Source organism: Homo sapiens, chromosome 8, assembly GCF_000001405.40.
Source record: "Homo sapiens chromosome 8, GRCh38.p14 Primary Assembly".
Taxonomy (NCBI): Eukaryota; Metazoa; Chordata; class Mammalia; order Primates; family Hominidae; genus Homo; species Homo sapiens.
The window spans coordinates 10319427-10336427 of NC_000008.11; the positions used below are offsets into that span (position 1 = coordinate 10319427).

The 17001-nt window shown below is 44.3% G+C and overlaps 1 protein-coding gene across 8 annotated transcripts in view, besides 7 other annotated features; it reads left to right on the forward strand.

Annotated features, from left to right (window-relative positions):
- MSRA (methionine sulfoxide reductase A) overlaps positions 1-17001 on the forward strand; it is a 374600-nt gene that overhangs the window by 265135 nt on the left and 92464 nt on the right. For all 8 annotated transcript variants that reach the window (NM_012331.5, NM_001135670.3, XM_011543822.3 and 5 more), the window contains one exon: positions 457-563. In NM_012331.5, the coding sequence (NP_036463.1) occupies positions 457-563 (107 nt within the window). The remainder of the gene's footprint in view (positions 1-456; positions 564-17001) is intronic.
- Positions 6915-7014: an enhancer, noted in NCBI's record as "active region_26990". NCBI's record gives its function as "activates an Ori minimal core promoter by ATAC-STARR-seq in GM12878 lymphoblastoid cells {active_cell/tissue: GM12878}" and the evidence as "EXISTENCE:reporter gene assay evidence [ECO:0000049][PMID:35858748]".
- Positions 13548-13757: an enhancer, noted in NCBI's record as "active region_26991". NCBI's record gives its function as "activates an Ori minimal core promoter by ATAC-STARR-seq in GM12878 lymphoblastoid cells {active_cell/tissue: GM12878}" and the evidence as "EXISTENCE:reporter gene assay evidence [ECO:0000049][PMID:35858748]".
- Positions 14220-15044: an enhancer, noted in NCBI's record as "H3K27ac-H3K4me1 hESC enhancer chr8:10191156-10191980 (GRCh37/hg19 assembly coordinates)". NCBI's record gives its function as "activates a minimal SCP1, AML or CMV promoter by ChIP-STARR-seq in primed H9 embryonic stem cells {active_cell/tissue: H9 hESC(primed)}" and the evidence as "EXISTENCE:reporter gene assay evidence [ECO:0000049][PMID:30033119]".
- Positions 15045-15869: an enhancer, noted in NCBI's record as "NANOG-H3K27ac-H3K4me1 hESC enhancer chr8:10191981-10192805 (GRCh37/hg19 assembly coordinates)". NCBI's record gives its function as "activates a minimal SCP1, AML or CMV promoter by ChIP-STARR-seq in naive H9 embryonic stem cells {active_cell/tissue: H9 hESC(naive)}" and the evidence as "EXISTENCE:reporter gene assay evidence [ECO:0000049][PMID:30033119]".
- Positions 15113-15162: a silencer, noted in NCBI's record as "silent region_18911". NCBI's record gives its function as "represses an Ori minimal core promoter by ATAC-STARR-seq in GM12878 lymphoblastoid cells {active_cell/tissue: GM12878}" and the evidence as "EXISTENCE:reporter gene assay evidence [ECO:0000049][PMID:35858748]".
- Positions 15543-15592: a silencer, noted in NCBI's record as "silent region_18912". NCBI's record gives its function as "represses an Ori minimal core promoter by ATAC-STARR-seq in GM12878 lymphoblastoid cells {active_cell/tissue: GM12878}" and the evidence as "EXISTENCE:reporter gene assay evidence [ECO:0000049][PMID:35858748]".
- Positions 15623-15722: a silencer, noted in NCBI's record as "silent region_18913". NCBI's record gives its function as "represses an Ori minimal core promoter by ATAC-STARR-seq in GM12878 lymphoblastoid cells {active_cell/tissue: GM12878}" and the evidence as "EXISTENCE:reporter gene assay evidence [ECO:0000049][PMID:35858748]".

Below are 17001 nucleotides of genomic sequence, written 5' to 3' on the forward strand. Positions count from 1 at the left end.
TGCCAAGCACCGTGCCAGGAATTTACACAGACATTGTCTCATTTCCTCATCCACCAAGGGAGGGATGATGAAACCTTCCATACAGGTATCTCCTTAGGACCCAAGGAAATAATATGTATCATAGTGCATTACATGTGACAATTGGAGTAGATCGTTGTTTAAGTATTTCATGTAAAAGTATGTATTCATAGAACATCTAGTATGATCCAAGACCTGTGATAAATCTACCTGAGTTCAAAGATACTTGTTGTAATTAAAACAGGCAAATCAAAACAGATACATTTCATGCTTGTTTAAAGAAAATGCTGTAAACAGAAAATTAAAACAAGCACTTAGCAACACATCAGGCACAGGGACCATATGAAAAGTGTCAAAATGTCTCAGCATTGTGCCCAGTTTGAGACTGGCACTGTCGCCTAGTGACCGGGTAACCCTCCCTGTTTTCTGCTTTCCTAGGTATGCGCCAGGGGAACGACCATGGCACTCAGTACCGCTCGGCCATCTACCCGACCTCTGCCAAGCAAATGGAGGCAGCCCTGAGCTCCAAAGAGAACTACCAAAAGGTAGGGATTGCTGGGCTCCTAGCCCCTGGCTTAGGCCACCATGACTAGGGCCAGGTTCTGATTTTAGAGGGCAGTCTGCTGCTTTTCAACTGGAATTGTGTTTTATTTGCACATCTCTTAGAAATTTCTGTCAGCCTCTAGGAGTGGAGCCATTGTGTCTAATACGTGTGCTAAATGAGGTTTTAAGAGTAGGCCTGGGCCAGGGCCAGTGGCTCATGCCTGTAATCCCAGTACTTTGGGGGGCCGAAGCAGAAGGATACTTGAGGCCAGGAGTTCGAGACCAGCCTGGGCAACATGAAGAAACCCCATCTCTACAAAAAATACAAAAATAAGCCAGGCATGGTGGCCTGCACCTACAGTCCCAGCTACCTGGGAGGGTGAGGTGGGAGTATCGTTTGAACCTGGGAGGTCAAGGCTGCAGTGACCTGTGATTGCACCACTGCACTTCAGCCTGGGTGACAGAGCAAGACCCTGTCTCAATGTAAAAAAATAAAGAGTAGGCCCTTATGTGTTTGCCTTTGAATCACTCATCTAGATGAAGACACAGCCTGTTAAAATAAGTCTTTTTCCTTCTCTCTTTATTTCTGTCTCTGTCTGAAACTCTCTCTTTTTTTCTTCCCTCTGTATTAGTTTTACAGGGCTATTGTAACAAACAGTCACAGCCTGGTTAGTTTAAACAGCAGATATTTATTTTCTCACAATTCTGGAGGCTGGAAGTCCAAGATCAAGGTGTCGGCAGGGCTGGTTCCTTCTGAGTGCTGTGAGGGAAGGGAAGGATCTGTTCCAGGCCTCTCTCCTTGGCTTCTAGATGGCTGTCTTCTCCATGTTTATATTCACATCAGCCTAGTTTTATGTGCGTGTGTTTCTTTGTCCAAGCTTCTTGTTTTTAAACAGTCTCTAGTCATATTGGCTTAGTGCTAACCCTCATGACCTCGTTTAACTTAATTACCTCTGTAAAGACCCGTTCTCCAAGGAAGGTCACATTCCGAGGTTTTAGGACTCCAACATATCTTTTGGAGGGAGACACGATTCAACCCATAACACTTTCTCATAACAGTAAATTGAATTATGATAAAAGTAGTTCTCGGAAATATATACATGATATCACAAAATAATTATTTTCAGAGTTGTGTACCCTTTTTTAAAATCCTCCAATAGAGATTTAGTTGTTTTAAAAACAAGTTGACTTGCTTTAGTTTTTAGAACTTTGTGATAGTACTTGTATTTTATTTATCATTATATTTTCTGATGTGGATTTGCATTTGACAGTAGAGCTAGAAGCTACTATAAAGCTAATCTATGTTAGAATTTTGTAAAAAGTCAGGTATGCAACAGCCCCCAGGAATGAGTGCAGAGACGAGGAGGCTGTAACTAGAGTGTCCACTGGTGAGCAAGTAGAAGGACGGGTGACTCAAGGTCAGTTCGACTATGATGAGCGGAGAGGCCTGAGGGAGGCGCTGACAGAGCCCATTCCTTCCTTGGCCCCTCCCACCTCCCTCCCAGGGTGATGTCTGCTTGGCTGGTCATGGTAGGCAGCCTGTGGGATGGCCCCCAGTGCTCTCTGCCCATATGTAATTCATCTCCTTGAATATGGGCTGCATTTAGCAACTCACTTCTAATGAATGACAGCAGTGATGGGAGCACTCTGAGACTAGGTCATTAAAAGATTGTGGCTCGTATTGTGAAAACTCTCTGTTACCGCGTGAGAGATGGTAGGGGAAGCCAGTTGCCACGTCATGAAGCAGCCCTGTGCAGAGGCTTACATGACAAGGACAAAAGCCTGCCAAGAACTATGTGAGTGAGCTTCGAATCCCCTCAACCCCAGTCAAGCCTTCAGATGAGACTGCAGCCCTGCCTGACAGTTTGATTACAGCGTCATGAAGGACTTCAAGCCAGAGGCACACAGCCAAGCTGTGCCACAGAAGCTGTGAGATAATAAATGTATATACTTTGAAGCTGCTAAGTTTTAGAGTAATTTAAGTATACTTGTATTTCCATTCTAAAAACCTTTTACCTATATATTCTTTCTCTTATCCCTTTTTCGTAATGGCTTTTGTAACAGTGGTGGGCTAACCTGGGCATTTATGGTGGTGGTTACACATGCAGTCTCTAGCATGAAATTTTCTCAATTCACATGTCATCTGTGCAGTTTATTATCAAGTACCTGACACTTAGAAAGCCATATGTTCTATTTGACTCAAGCAGACCTATGAGGATGAGGGAGACCCCATTATCCCCATTTTCCAGATGCTCAAAGAGAGAGCAATGACCTTAGAATAAATGAAATTAAAGAGAAGTAAGACTGGATGCAGGGAGATGAGTTGGGCAGCTATTATAGGATTCCGGGCCAGAAGTAATGGAAGCTTTGTCTAGGATGGTGGAAGTATGGGTGGGAGGGAGGGATATTTAGGAAGTACAAAGACCAGAACTTGGAACTTCACTGGAAGTGGAGAGTCAATAAGAGGGACAGGTCCAGGTCCAGGTCATGGCTGGTGATTTTTTGTACAAGTGTACAGAGAAGCAGAGGCAGATTTGTGGGGAAGGTAAGTTAAGTTGTGAAAGTGCAGAGTCTAAGGTGCCCATGACATGGGCATCCAAGGGGCTGTTTGGAGGAGCCATGGGCTGTTTCTGCCTTGCAGGGAGGATTGTTAGGACTGCTAACTGGGCTAATGCTTGTGAAACACAGGGCCTAGCACATGGTAAATACCTCATAAACAGGAACCCTTATTATTATTGGGAGTTGTCAACTTATATTTGCTAAATGAAACCCCAGTTGCTGATAAGATTACTTGGGAAAAGTAATGAGATAAAAGCAGAAGAGGCAGGGCACAGTGACTCACGCCTCTAATCCCAGCACTTTGGGAGGCTGAAGTGGGCGGATCATGAGGTCAGGACTTCGAGACCAGCCTGACTAACATGGTGAAACTCGGTCTCTACTAAAAATACAAAAATTAGCCAGGCGTGGTTACACGCACCTGTAATCCGAGCTACTGAGGAGGCTGAGGCAGGAGAAATGCTTGAACCCAGGAAGCAAAGGTTGCACTGAGCTGAGATTGCATTACTAAACTCCAGCCTGGGCAACAGAGTGAGACTCCATCTCAAAAAAAAAAAAAAAAAAATGCAGAAGAGAGGGCTTAGTACCCGAGGAACTGATTCCTCCACTTGAGCGGTGGGAGGGGAACTGTCCAACCAGGCAGGACACTACACTGGGCACCACAGGAACCAACCCCAACCAAGAACTTAAAAAGTGGTTCAATTGTTTCATCCCACTGTATTTAATTATAAAGGCAGTATTTATAACTACTACTAAAAGTCACATATGATAATGCCATCTATAAACTCCCTTATGTAATGATTCGTAGTTCTCTAGGGTACCAAGAGTAATACCAAGCGACTCTGGAAGCATATTAACTGCCCTCCAGAATACTGAAATATGATGATATCCTGGTGTTTGCAATGAAGATTTTCAGTTCAAGGCCAGTGCCTTCCGTGTGATGGTGAAGAGGCTTATCACCGAATTTTCCAGTTTCTATCCCATTGTAGTTTCTACCCTCAGTTTTGAGGGGAACCCACGTTGATTTTAGATAAATGATATCCATAGGAGGTAAAATTTAGGTATTATATAATTAATTAATGAGCTGCTATAATTATCCTTTCATTATTTTTGTAGTTTTTGTAGAGGTTAATCTTGTAGGCAGTTGTGCTGACCAGATGTTTTCTGGGTGTTCTGAACCCAAGCACATGGGAATTAAATACGTGTGTGTGTGTGTGTGTGTGTGTGTGTGTCTGTGTCTGTCTGTCTGCATGTCTGCATGTCTATGTGTCTGTTTGGCTTTTAAAAGTAGGGTCTATTTTTTAAATAAAGATTGGGACTCCTGTGCCTTTAGTATCCCGATAGCCATTGCTGCTCACATTACTGCATATAAACTGCTTAATCACCAACTCAGGGGACAAATGCTGTCATATCTCTTTTATGGTTTTGCATAAATAAAACTGACCCTAGATTCCACTGGGAGATGAGTTGAAAGTTCAGTGTTTTCGTACCAGCTAATTGACTGAAACCCAGAGTTTCAGACTAGACCAGTGCTTCCTTTCAGCACCACTCGCCTTTCCGCCATGATGCTGTGGTCTCTTTTGCACTGTCCAGTGGAGGGCCTCTGGCCACATGTGGCTGTTGAGCACTTGAAATAGTGGCTCACTGGCTCAGTTCCTCAGTGGCTAGTGTGACTGAGGAACTGAATCTTTTAATTAATTTACATTTATATTTAAGTGGCCACATGTGGCTGGTGGCTACCATTTAGAGAGCATAGCAGTTCATTAAGGGGTGAGCTTGTGCGTGTGTTTGCATGCCCATGTGCATTGTAGAGGGGTGGAGCATGTCAGTCTGGATCCCTGGCCCTCTGCTCTCACTATGGCTTATCCCAAGAGCGGGACGGCCATGGAACATGGGACGGCCACGGAACATGGGTTCCTGCCCATCAGAGTGCTGCACCGGGAGCTGCTCTCACCTTTTCCTGCCTGGAGACCACAGCATGAGGGTCAAGTTTTTTCCTTTTCAGGAACCAAAGTGTCTCTTTGTGTACCCCATCCTGGTGAGCAATAGAGCTAAGTGGACATCCATGCCTAGGTGACCACTGTGATTTTTATCTTAGCTTAGCTTAGCCTGGGTCCCACAGAAAGCAGAGCCCAAGCCAGAGGCTTGTGTGTGAGGATTCACTGAGATGTGTGGTTCCAGGGAGCAGGAATAAGGGGCAGAGAGACTGGGGAGGAAAAGAAGGAAGACCCCATACAAGTTAGCCCCTGCCACTGGTAACTGGTTGTTTGAGATTTATGAAATGACTAGGCATTCGGGAGAAGATGAGGAAGCATGTTTCCATTGAATGCCATCAGTCATAGGTTGATTCTGCACTTCTGAGCTGCACATGTGTGAGCTCAGGGTACTGTGTGCCAGGGCAGGAGGCAAGAGACAAGAGGCACATGGCGTTGAGTGTAAGATTGGGCAATGCAGGTGCATAAAAGCTGCACAAAGTGAATGGGGGCCCTTGCAGAACTGGGTACTGTGGCTGGCCTAGCAAGAGGCAGATGGGGCCACAGGGATCTAAAGTGATGCATTAGTGTCCTCTGGGTCCACTGTCTCCAAAGGGTCCTTCTCACTCCGATCCAGGGAAGGCAGCTGACTGCAATGGCTCAGGAATGATTTGCCACGATGGAGTGACTTTCTGGCACCTCTGATAGAGGTGAGAAAGAAAAACACAGTTCAATTTTAGCAGAGTGCATCCTGCTGCAGTCATATGGTGATATAATATGTACTTTTATATAGGTTATATACCATAATTATGTATAATACGTATATCTATATAATATATAGCTATATAATAATAATAGTAATACTGTTAGAACAGCAACAACAGTACCAACAGAGTACTTACTAAATGCTAATCAAGCAGTTTTAAGTCATGTATAGATCTTAGGTGTTTATCTGTGTACATATATTTGTTTAGCTGTAGATGTGTATCTCTCTATGTCTTTATATAAAGTTAAATGCATTCATGTATTTATGAGGCCCTTTTAAGTTTTGAAACTTGAATGAATTTCTGACTGTTTATTCAGTTGATATAACTGATAATACAAACATTGCAAAATCAGCAATTTGCAATGCCTGTGAGAGGTGATGTTATCAGCTTTGATACCGTAAAGAGGTTGATCAGTGCTTTAGCCTTTACCTTAAAAAGTTATGTGGTTTCTAATACATTCACAAAATGGGGAAAATTGCCGATCTAACCAACTGCTTTATTCACTGAGGGAAGGAGAGCAGGGAGCTGAAGAGGTGACCCCCGGACTGGGCTTTCCTGTGTTTTATATCTAGGGTAAGCTTGAACAAGCTCCTGAAACCACAGAGGTGTTTAAGGTAGGGAGGGTCATTTCTTAACACTCCTGGATTATGGTCTAGAACTCTGTACTGTAGTCAGAAACATTTAGTTTGATTTCTAAAAGTGGGGAAATTCTGCCCATGACTCATTCTGTTCATTTTACATACACTGCTTTCCTCTTCAGAAGGCTTGGTGTTTCTGGCCCCATCACTACATTCGGGACATTTGTCTTCTTTGAGCGCTGCTGGGACCCCTATACACTAACTGTAATGTTGACTTAGGTTACTAATTTAATAGTCTTCTTCACTAGCCTGCTCCCAGTGACCCCCTAGTACCCAGCTTCTTCAGCAGCTTCTTTATATGTGAAGTTTGGAGTGACAGTATTGCTTACCACAGAGCAGCCATTTGAACATAAAATTAGCTGATTTTATCACAGGGACCAATTGTTGAGCTAATTAGATGTGCAGTACTGCTGAGGAGCCAGAAACCAAAAGTGATTTTCCATTGAAACTGTGGTTTTCTGCAAAGTTGGCTGGGTTGTGGATACCAGCCTCACCAGCGACTGTCAGAGTTTTGGCTGAAGAAGTTTGCTCATTTCTAATCAGATTAAAAGAGGCAGGAAAGACTTAAGGAGGAGGATGGAGTCTTAAGGAGTGAAACTTGAACTTCACGCTGGGTTTGCTGACCTTGAACATGCTGGATTCTGCTTACAGAATTTGACAGCTGCTTCATATCTTTGGTGAGCAACCCTAACCCTAATACAACTTTGCATAAAATGGAGGGGGGTGTTTTTGCCTTCAAGGAGAAGACTTGATAATCTTTTCTTAGCCTCATTAAAAAAAAAATTTTCCTCAAATCTTTGGTGGAGTTATTTGCTTATAGCACTAATTGCAAGACATCATCTAATGTATTATTGTTTTTGGATTGTCAAATATGGACAATTTATCTCCCAAGTGAGCCCATCATGAGAAACATTTCCCAGTATCCTAAACTGAATGTGGCCTCCGGTAGAGTGAGGGTGGTTCACGTGTAATTCTTCCATCCTGAGAATGTGACTCCAGCTCATTTAGGAATTAAATCTTTTCCCACTGAGAAATTATGTTTCTTGAAATGTGAAAGACAGCAAATCTAAAGAGCATTCTCCTGGCCATATGACCTGGCTCCTTCTGCCAGCTCTTCAAGTCTTCAAGAAAGCACAATGCTTTCTCTGGGTATTTCTCTCGCGAAAAAGAGAGAAGAAAAGCAGCGTTTTCCTTTGTATATATTTTACAATATATTAAGTTCTAATAAGGATAAAATGTTTCTGGAGTCATTGTTAAATTACCCACTGTGTTTCAAATATAAAACAGTGTTTTAAAGGCTGTATCTATCCGTCTCTCAGTGTTTGTCCACCCTTCCATCCATCCACCCACCTGTCCCTATCATCAGTATATAGCTACAATCTTTAAATATTTGCCATAATTTTATCTTAAACTTCAACTATCTAGCAATTTATTATCTCTCATCTCTGCGTTTGTTTATAATTAATACAGGGTCATTTTAAAGAAAAGTTCCCAAAGTGAAAGGTAAAAAAACAGTATGCATGTACAAATGGGTTCCAGCTAGCATTTTCAAAAATAAAGGTTCAGTTTTGATTATTTAATTTTCTTCCTGCTTAGATTGCAGCCAGATATTTAGTGACTCCCTAAGCTCTTCAGTTAAGCCCTGACAAATTGTGGTTTGACTGGTGTGTGTGTTTTGTTGCGGGGAGGCGGGGAGGAAGAAGACAGTGTCACTACCAAATAACCTACTTGGCTGGGCACGGTGGCTCACGCCTGTAATCCCAGCACTTTGGGAAGCCAAGGCAGGTGGATCATAAGGTCAGGAGATCGAGACTATCCTGGCTAACAAGGTGAAACCCCGTCTCTACTAAAAATACAAAAAGTTAGTCAGGCGTGGTGGTGGGCGCCTGTAGTCCCAGCTACTCATGAGGCTGAGGCAGGAGAATGGCGTGAACCTGGGAGGCGGAGCTTGCAGTGAGCTGAGATTGCGCCACTGCACTCCAGCCTGGGCTCCGTCTCAACAACTAGAACAACAACAACAACAACAAAAAAACCTACTCACCTGCGCTACCAATGCAGTCATTGCTGCTTTTCTTTAGCATAGTTTGAATACCATCTCTATGGTAATTTTTTTTTTTTTTTTTTTTTTTTTAGTATCAGTGACACTCTGAGTGTAAATGACACTCAAATTTAGGGTCTAGAACTACCCTCTGGACTCCAGATCCCCATAACAAACTGTCTACTTGTTATCGCCACTTGTGTGTCAACGTAATGCTTTCTAAAATGAAAGTTTGATTATTGCCACCCCCTGTAAACAAGTCCCATGGCTTCCTCCTCCCTCCTCCCTCCCCCCTCCCCACTCATTGACACCCTTCCCCATCGGGTCATCATTTAACTTGCCTAACTAAGCAAGATCCTCAGAAGTCATCCCTGCCTCATGCCTTTCCCTCGCCTTTTCCCTCCAATGAATCAGATTAACAGATTCTACCTCCAAAAGACATCCCCACTGTGCTCGCTTCTTTCATTTTCTCTCACGTTCACTCTCATGATTTAAGCCACCATTATCTGTTCCTGGACAACTGAACTTCTTACCTCTCCATGATTATGACCACCCGCACAGGCAGCAGAGTGATATTCCTCAGTGTACCTCGGGTCATTTCCCTTCCCTGTGTCAGCATCTTCCACGGCATCTCTACTGTATGTGGAATGAAATCTGAACTCCTTCGCATGGTCTACCAGGTCCTTCAAAGTCATGTCACCATCTTCCCATGAGACATCTGTAACTTCTAATCAGAGAGCCTAATTATCACAGTATATCTAAGATGTAGCCTATAATTCTTAAAGTTCAGAACCTTTGAATAAGGCTCAAGAACTTTCCAGAGAACTGGGGACTCACTATGAGAACCACAGGGACTCAGGAAATCTTACTGTTGTGCAGTGAACCTCATAAAGGATGGTTTTATACTTCTTTGTATTTCAAAGTTGATCCCTTCATGGACTCACTGTTGCCACAGAGAGACCAAATTCAGAGGCTGTGGACATGCTGCCTGGTTGAGGCTATGCTGTATATTAAAAGGAAGGATTAACCATCTTGTTCTTGACCCTAAACCCTATCCTGCAAACTCTCTTGACACCGAAGTTGCTATTATGATCGTACAACATTATTTGGTAGGATTAAGTCAGTGGGTGATAGATGAAACTGCCTTCCTCTCACTACTTTGCCAAATCTCTGACTTTTTTGTCCCTGTGTTAATATCCTATAGCTACTATAACAAATTACCACAAACTGGATGGCTTAAAAGCAACAGGGATTTATTCTCTCATGGTTCCAGAGGGCAGAAGCCCAAAGTCAATTTCCCTGGACCCAAATCAGGGTACTAGCTGGGCTCTGCTCCCCCAGGGGCTCCAGGGAAGAATCCCTCCCCGGATCTTCCAGCGTCTGGTGGGTGCCACCATGCATGGCCTGTGGCTGCATCACTCAAGTCTCTGCCTCTGTGGCCACCTGCCTCATCCTCTTCTGGGCATCTGATCTCGTCCTGCATCTCTCTAATAAGGACACTGACAGTTGCATTTAGGGCCCACCCAAACAATCAAGAATACTCCCGCATCTCAACCCCCCTTATTTAGTTACATCTGTGAAATCTGTGCCATATAAAATAACATTCACAGGTTTTAGGGGATTGGAACATGGACATTTTGGGGAGACCATTTTTCAGATGACCACAGGCCCCATAATCTGGTCTCCAACCTGCCAGTGTCATGTGTCCACCCCAAAATGGGAGACTGAAATTGGGGGCTCTTCCTCGGGCTGCTTAGGAGAGGTGGGCGTTGTTCACTAGGTGGGAGCGCATCTGGCTTGCCCTGAACCCCAGAACACACTCAGGTTTCCCAGCGAGATGGGATTTGATTTCCTCTCTCGGGGGTCTTTATCTAGTTTTGAAGAGAGGTGAAAATTTGCAAAAGTTTATCCCCTTTCATACATCTCTACCTTCAAAACAGACCCAATTTTACTGCTATACTACTTCTGAAATAAAGTGGCATACCAAAAATAACAGTAGAAAAAAATAAATCCTAAGAGCTAGAAGGATATTTGGGAGAGAAAAAAATGTGTGTGTGTGTGTGTGTGTGTGTGTGTGTGTGTGTGATCAAAAAGCATTTGGATGTTTGGCAAGAGTGGTCTAGCACTCTCTTAGTCACTTACTCTCTTTGAGCCCTGACTTAATTTCTCTGATACCAATTTTTAAATGATCTAAGTGTGGATAACAAAATTTCCCAATAGGTTCATTATAAGAATTAAATGTGATATACACACACACACACACACACACAAGCTGGCATGCAGTAGTGACCCAATATACATTATTGAAGCTGAGCCCCTTCAGTTTTATGATCCAGAAAATAGTTTTAATTATACCAACCCAAATGAGAGAAATTTAATATACTCAATGAATATTTAGCCATGCTATAACCATGATAATATAACTGAACCAGATAATTCCCCAGCAAGAGGTATATACAGATCCTTTGTGTTTTCTTTTCAACATCTATAGGCTGAAAATGGCTTTTTCTCCTTATTCTCCCGTCCCATGTTCCTCAGTAAATTAATTACCTTATCAAATATTAATTATGTACAGATTCATTGCCAGACTTGCATTACAGTTGCTTTAAACAAAGCTATCTGAGGCAAAGTCTTGTGAAGTTTGTGGTAATAAACTGTCCCACATACAGTCACAGAAGCTCACATGTGACAAATGCTCTTTTCTGCAGAGAATCTCCTAGGAACTCGTCTCCCATTTTCTACATTAAGTAAGCTTATAGGAGGCTTCCATTCACCTGTGTGTCCCCAGTGCCTGGTGCTGTGCTTGGTACCTAGTGATTGTCAACAAATATCTGTTGACCTGAACTGAAGTGATACAGCATATAAAGAAGCCCGTTTTGTTGCCCCTTGTTATGGACCGAATATCTGTGTCCCCCCAAATTCATATGTTGAAGCCTCTACCCCCAGTGTGATGGTGTTTGGACATGGGGCCTTTGGGAGGTGATCAGGGTTAGATGAGGTCCTGAGCTGGAGCTCCCGTGATGGGACTGCTGTCCTTATACGAAGAGACACCAGGGAGCAGGCTCTTGAGCACTCTATTGCTGTGTTTCTTGCTGCACACAGAAGTCATGTGAACACAAATAGAACTGCCTGCAAGCCCTGAGAAGAGGACTTGGAATAAACCTACCTTGCCAGAACCTTGATCTTGGACTTCTCAGCCCCCAGAACTGTAAGAAATAGAAGCCTGTTATTGAAGCCACGTAGTCTGTTACTTTGTTATGGCAGCCCGAGCTGACAAGAGAGCCCTGTTTTGTGTGCTGCACTCCATGGAGCGGGGGCAGAGCACTGGCTTGGAGGAGAACAACTGGCTGGAGCCCTGGCTCTGCCTGTAGTGACCGTGACCTTGGAGAGGTCTCTATGGCCCATTCTTCTTTTGTAAAATGGGGAAATTAAGAACAGTGGAATGTTGTACGGCTTTTCGGTGCTTTCTCCTGTATTTTGCTGGGTAAACTTCACAGTCACACACAGGCTAGGGCAGGATCTGTTCTCTGACTTGCCTATGAGGAAACTGAAGCTCAGAAGTGTTCATTCACATTCCCAACATGACCCCCATAGTAAATGTAGAGAGCTAGAGTCATTTGACACTGAATTCCATAAGCTTTTCACCCATGCTGTGTGGCGATACATGCTAATCTTTCAGGCATTTTACGAATACAGTCATCCTTCGGTATCCAATGGGGATTGCTTCCAGGACCCTCTGAAGATACCAAAATCTGATGATGCTTAATCCCTTATATAAAATGACATTTACATATAACCTATGCACATCCTCTTGTGTACTTTAAATAATCTCTAGATTACTTATACCTAATACAATGCACATACTATTAATATATTAAAATAGTTATGCTGTATTCTTAAAATTTGTATTGTTGTATTGTTTTTATTCATTTATTTATAATAATTTTGATCTGTGGTTGGATGAATCCAAGCACGCAGAATGCAAGGATACGGAGGGCCGACTGTATCAGGGTTTAATGGGTGACTGCAGAGGTAAGGCTGTCTACAGTGACTTCATCCTGCCTTTCTAGAGATCCTCAAATTTCCAACCATAGTTACAATATAGGATCAGCATATCTTCCTTTCTGTCATGAATTGAGAAAATGTCATGGTTATCTGTTTCTTTGTTCCCAGGGAAATGGGTAAGTTGCATGCTAGAAGCATCCCTTCTCGGTCTGTTGTATTCTCTATGCTGCAATGTTTAAAACCCATCTGAGTACCGAAAGACTGTTGTTTTCACCAACACTGAAACATCATTTATTTGCATTGGAAAACCCTAAATAGACATGGGTAAATGTCAGTTGATATGTTATGGTTTGGGGATTACATAGCTCTTCGTCTTTAAAAAATTTTTTTTATCTGTGCTTTTGTTTAAAGCATGAAGTTATGATTTAAAATGCCCATGGAAAAACCCTGAATAATTCATTGACTTACCTTAGTCAAAAAGAAAAATCCCCCCTCCCCACCGTATGCCTAGCAATAGGGATAAAATTCTTCTTAGTCCCTTTCTGTAGCTTTGAGGTTAAAATTACGGGTGTTATTATGAACTCTAAATAAGAACCTGTGAAATAAATATTTTAAAAGTGCCCATTTCTGGGAGGCAGGCACCCATATTTCTGTGTATGCAGCCACGTAGACAGCTAGATCTTAGGCATAATGGTTTAGTTGCATGTGGGTGATTATTTTCATTTCCACTTATTACTGTGTGCTAGACTCCCTGTGTATGAGTACAGATTGCCCTTTCTTGCACTGTATTTAGAAATCTCTGTATTACCCTTGGGCATTTGTTCATTAATAGGGGGTGGGGAAAGGAAAAGCTTGTAATAATGGGCTTTACATATTAAACTGTGTGCATCCGCATTTGGGCCAAATGGAAAATCTGGTTTGTATGACTGCCCTCTGCTGGCTGTAGGCCTTTGCTGCAGTGGCAGGATATGAGTCCCTGGGTGGAGCCCCTGTGCAGATGCCGGTATCAGTCTTTTATTCACTTGCACTGAGTTCCATCCAAGTACATCAGAAACAGCCTAAGATTCTACCTACTGCCCAGGTTGATGGTGGAAGACAGCATTCTTGTGAGGATCAAGGAGACATTTTTGATTTTAGTAGAAGTACAGTAGAAGTATAGACACAAAATAATCCTGGCCAACATAGGGTGATGTTTGAATGAATGAATTCACATTTCTCCACGGGCCACACTCCTACTCATCTTTCAGTGGCAACAGGGGAATGTTTAGTGGCTCCCATATGTGATGTCCAGACCCCTTGTGGAATGCAAGATGATTTTACGGTGTATCCAGATGAATCTTTTAAATCTCAGTTATGTGTTTATAATATATATTAAGAAAACTGCAGAGAATGTTTGAAGCCCACAATTTCCTGAAGGTGATGGCTGAGGTGAAGAGCAGGAAATGGAACCTACACACACAGCTGCATTCCTTGCAGAGATGCCTCTTCCGCAAGTCTTTGGGCGGAGAAAAACCACAGGGAGGTCCCCGATGACTTGGGCAGCAGTGGCTCTGTACTTGCTTTGTGTATGACCTTGGGTTGTTGACCTGTCTAAGCCTAGGTTTTCTTATTTGCTAAACAGGATAATAGTGGCTACTTCTTAGGCAGTTATAAGGATGATATGGTGTATATGTAAAGTGTCTGTCACAGAACAGGGGCCTGGGCAATGCCAGATGCTTCTTTTTCAGCTCCCCATCCCCCAGGACGCTTCTCAGAGCCGGCCCCCCTCCATGTTCGCATCACGCTTGGCTTGCATCTCGTTTCCTCTGACCCTTATGAGAGTTTCCACGTTTCTTCTCCACCCCACCCCCCCCACGCTGAGTGGGACCTTCCCTTGCTTTGCATCTGTGGCAACATTCCATGAGCACTTCACACAAGGCAGGCACTCTGTGAATGTCAGGTGAATTAAACCCAAGTGCAAAATACTTGTAAGCAGCATTTTCCCATTCTCCAACACATTCAGAGAATTTCACCTATCAGATTAGGACAGGGCCTATACGTTTTTCTCCCCCTACCCGCCATTCGTGTGGTCTGATAACAGCAGCAGCATTAAGTTCCCGTCCATTGGCTGCAAGCAGGGAGGAAAAAAGGCCCCAGCGCCTACTGCCTGCTTTCCTGCCTGCGTTAATATCATCTCTTATCTTACCAACTAACATATAGGGGTGTGTGTGTGTGTGTGTATTTATGTGTGTGTGTGTGTGTGTGTGTGTGTCTGGGTATATATACACACACATTTATATTCGTTAATTTCCGTGGAAAAGAAAGGGATGGCAGCAGAAACATTTTAAACACAGCATTTCAGCTAGGGTAGGGTCTACTTTAAAGACAACAAAAGGGCCTTTGTTGTTCTGGCAGGTAGATGGATAAGCCTGGCCCTGGTTCAGCCTCTATAAAGTGGCTCCGGAGTGATAGGATCAGAGAAACTACCGGGGGCGGGGGGGAGGTGCAGGGACGCTTTTATTTCTGTGGCGCCAAGAGTGAAGCAGGGTTTGCCGTTTCCTACAGGGGCAGTGCGTTTGCGTTTCAAATTCCCGTTGATTGTGTCGCAGCCCGCGTGGTCCCGAGCTCCCCGGCCTGCGCCTGCACGGCCGCGGGACGCCCGCTTGCATTTCCGCCACCGAGGCAATGTTCATTTAACGCTTCCAGAGATCAGAGCTTTCATGTTTGCCACGAAAGCCAGAGAGCCGGGAGCACCTCAGGAGCGGAGATGAAAGGCCATTTGTGTTTGTGCATGTGTATTTAGCGCTTAAAGGGCAGGAAAAAGAAAGAAAATAGATGGTCCCGCTTTGCACTTACTTCAAAATGTGCCTTACTCCCTCTGGTGGGACCATTTAACTCCAGCGCGCCACCCCTCCCCCGCTCTGGCCGCTCCCGTCTGCCCCGCTGCCTCGGCCCACGTGATGGCTGTTCGGGCCCCGCCGAGCCATCTTCCCGTTGCTATGGCAGCCGGCGCGGCGAGCCCGCCCATTGGCTGCAAGCGAGGAGGAATAAAAGGCTCTCGTGTCCTTAGGTCTAGTGCCCTGCGCCATGGCCCCGTGCAGGTAGAGGCCTGGGCATGGTGCGTTGCAGGACGGGCCGGGCGCAGGGACCGCCCCCCGCACCGTGCGCCCCACCCAGCTGTCCAGAAACGGTCAGGGTCAATGTCATCAGCTTCTCCATGGAATGGGAAGCAGGTGAAGGACAAAAGCAAGGCTCATAAGGGAAAGTGAGCCACCTTTTCCTTCACCCTTAACACCTCCCAGCTCTGTTTTTTTTTTTTTTTTTTTTTTTGTAGTGTTTGAATTTGAAATCCGGCCCTGTGACCCTTTCTACTCACAGACACTGCACGTGAGGCCTGAGCCTAAGTTTAGCTGTCAGATTCCATTTACCTTGGCCATGCCCCGTGGCTCCAAAGCCGCGAGGACAGCACTCCATTGCGACGTCTACTCCCGAGCCTGAATGTTTCGAAAATTATCTTCGTCTTGCTGGGTTCGCTGCTGAACTGGGGAGGCGATTGGAATTACCATCTGGCCTCAGAGCTGCGGGTGACTCTTGTCCTGACCCCGTGGCCTAGTGAACAGATGACCCCGGCGCCTGATCTTGTACCTGGTCAAACAGGTGTGGAGAAGTCTTGGAGGGGAACTGCAGCTACCTGCCTCGGGCTCTCTTCGGCTGGCGACTTGGGTTCCCTGCTGAGTGAGAAAGAGAGCCAGCCACACCCAGAGCCTTCAATCCCCAGAGGGAGGGCACCCACTGCGATTTGGCTGTGGTTGGTCACCTGCCTTCCCCAACATAGGACCAGTCAGCAGATTTGGGAGTGCAGAAAGCACTTTCACAAACATTCTCTCCTCTGCTTCTCATAAGGAGCCTGGGAGGCTGTCACTCTAATCGCTGCCCTCCAGGAGAAGCAGCTGGTAACTTGAGACCACATGATACGTACATGGGGGAGCCCAGGATGCACACTCCCGCTCCCTGATTCCAAGCTCTGTGCATGCTCTTTCCATTCTGTCACTGGGCCAGGTAGATTCCCTCTGGACATGTCACACCCTCACAGATTTATAAATAGGGAATGGGCTCTAGGAGGAAGATCGCTCCTCCCTTTCTTCTCATTCCGTATCTTGCCAATATCACATTAAAAGAATATGTCACTAGTGTTTAATTTGTCAAGATCAGGGGCTAATGGTTGAGGATTTTTTGTGGTTCCTTCTGCTGGCAGAAACACATTTGCAAACACAAAATCTTTTAATAAAATAGCAAGATTTAGTAAGAAAGAAAAATACTGTGAGAAAAAAATAGGACCTGATTGGAGGAACATTATTATGCCAGAGACACTTGGTTGACTTAAACACTAATATATTATTTTTATACATATTCACACAAAGGGTGCTGTGTGGTTTCAGGAATCCACAGAGCCTAACACCCAAGCACATGTGATAGAAAAAAAA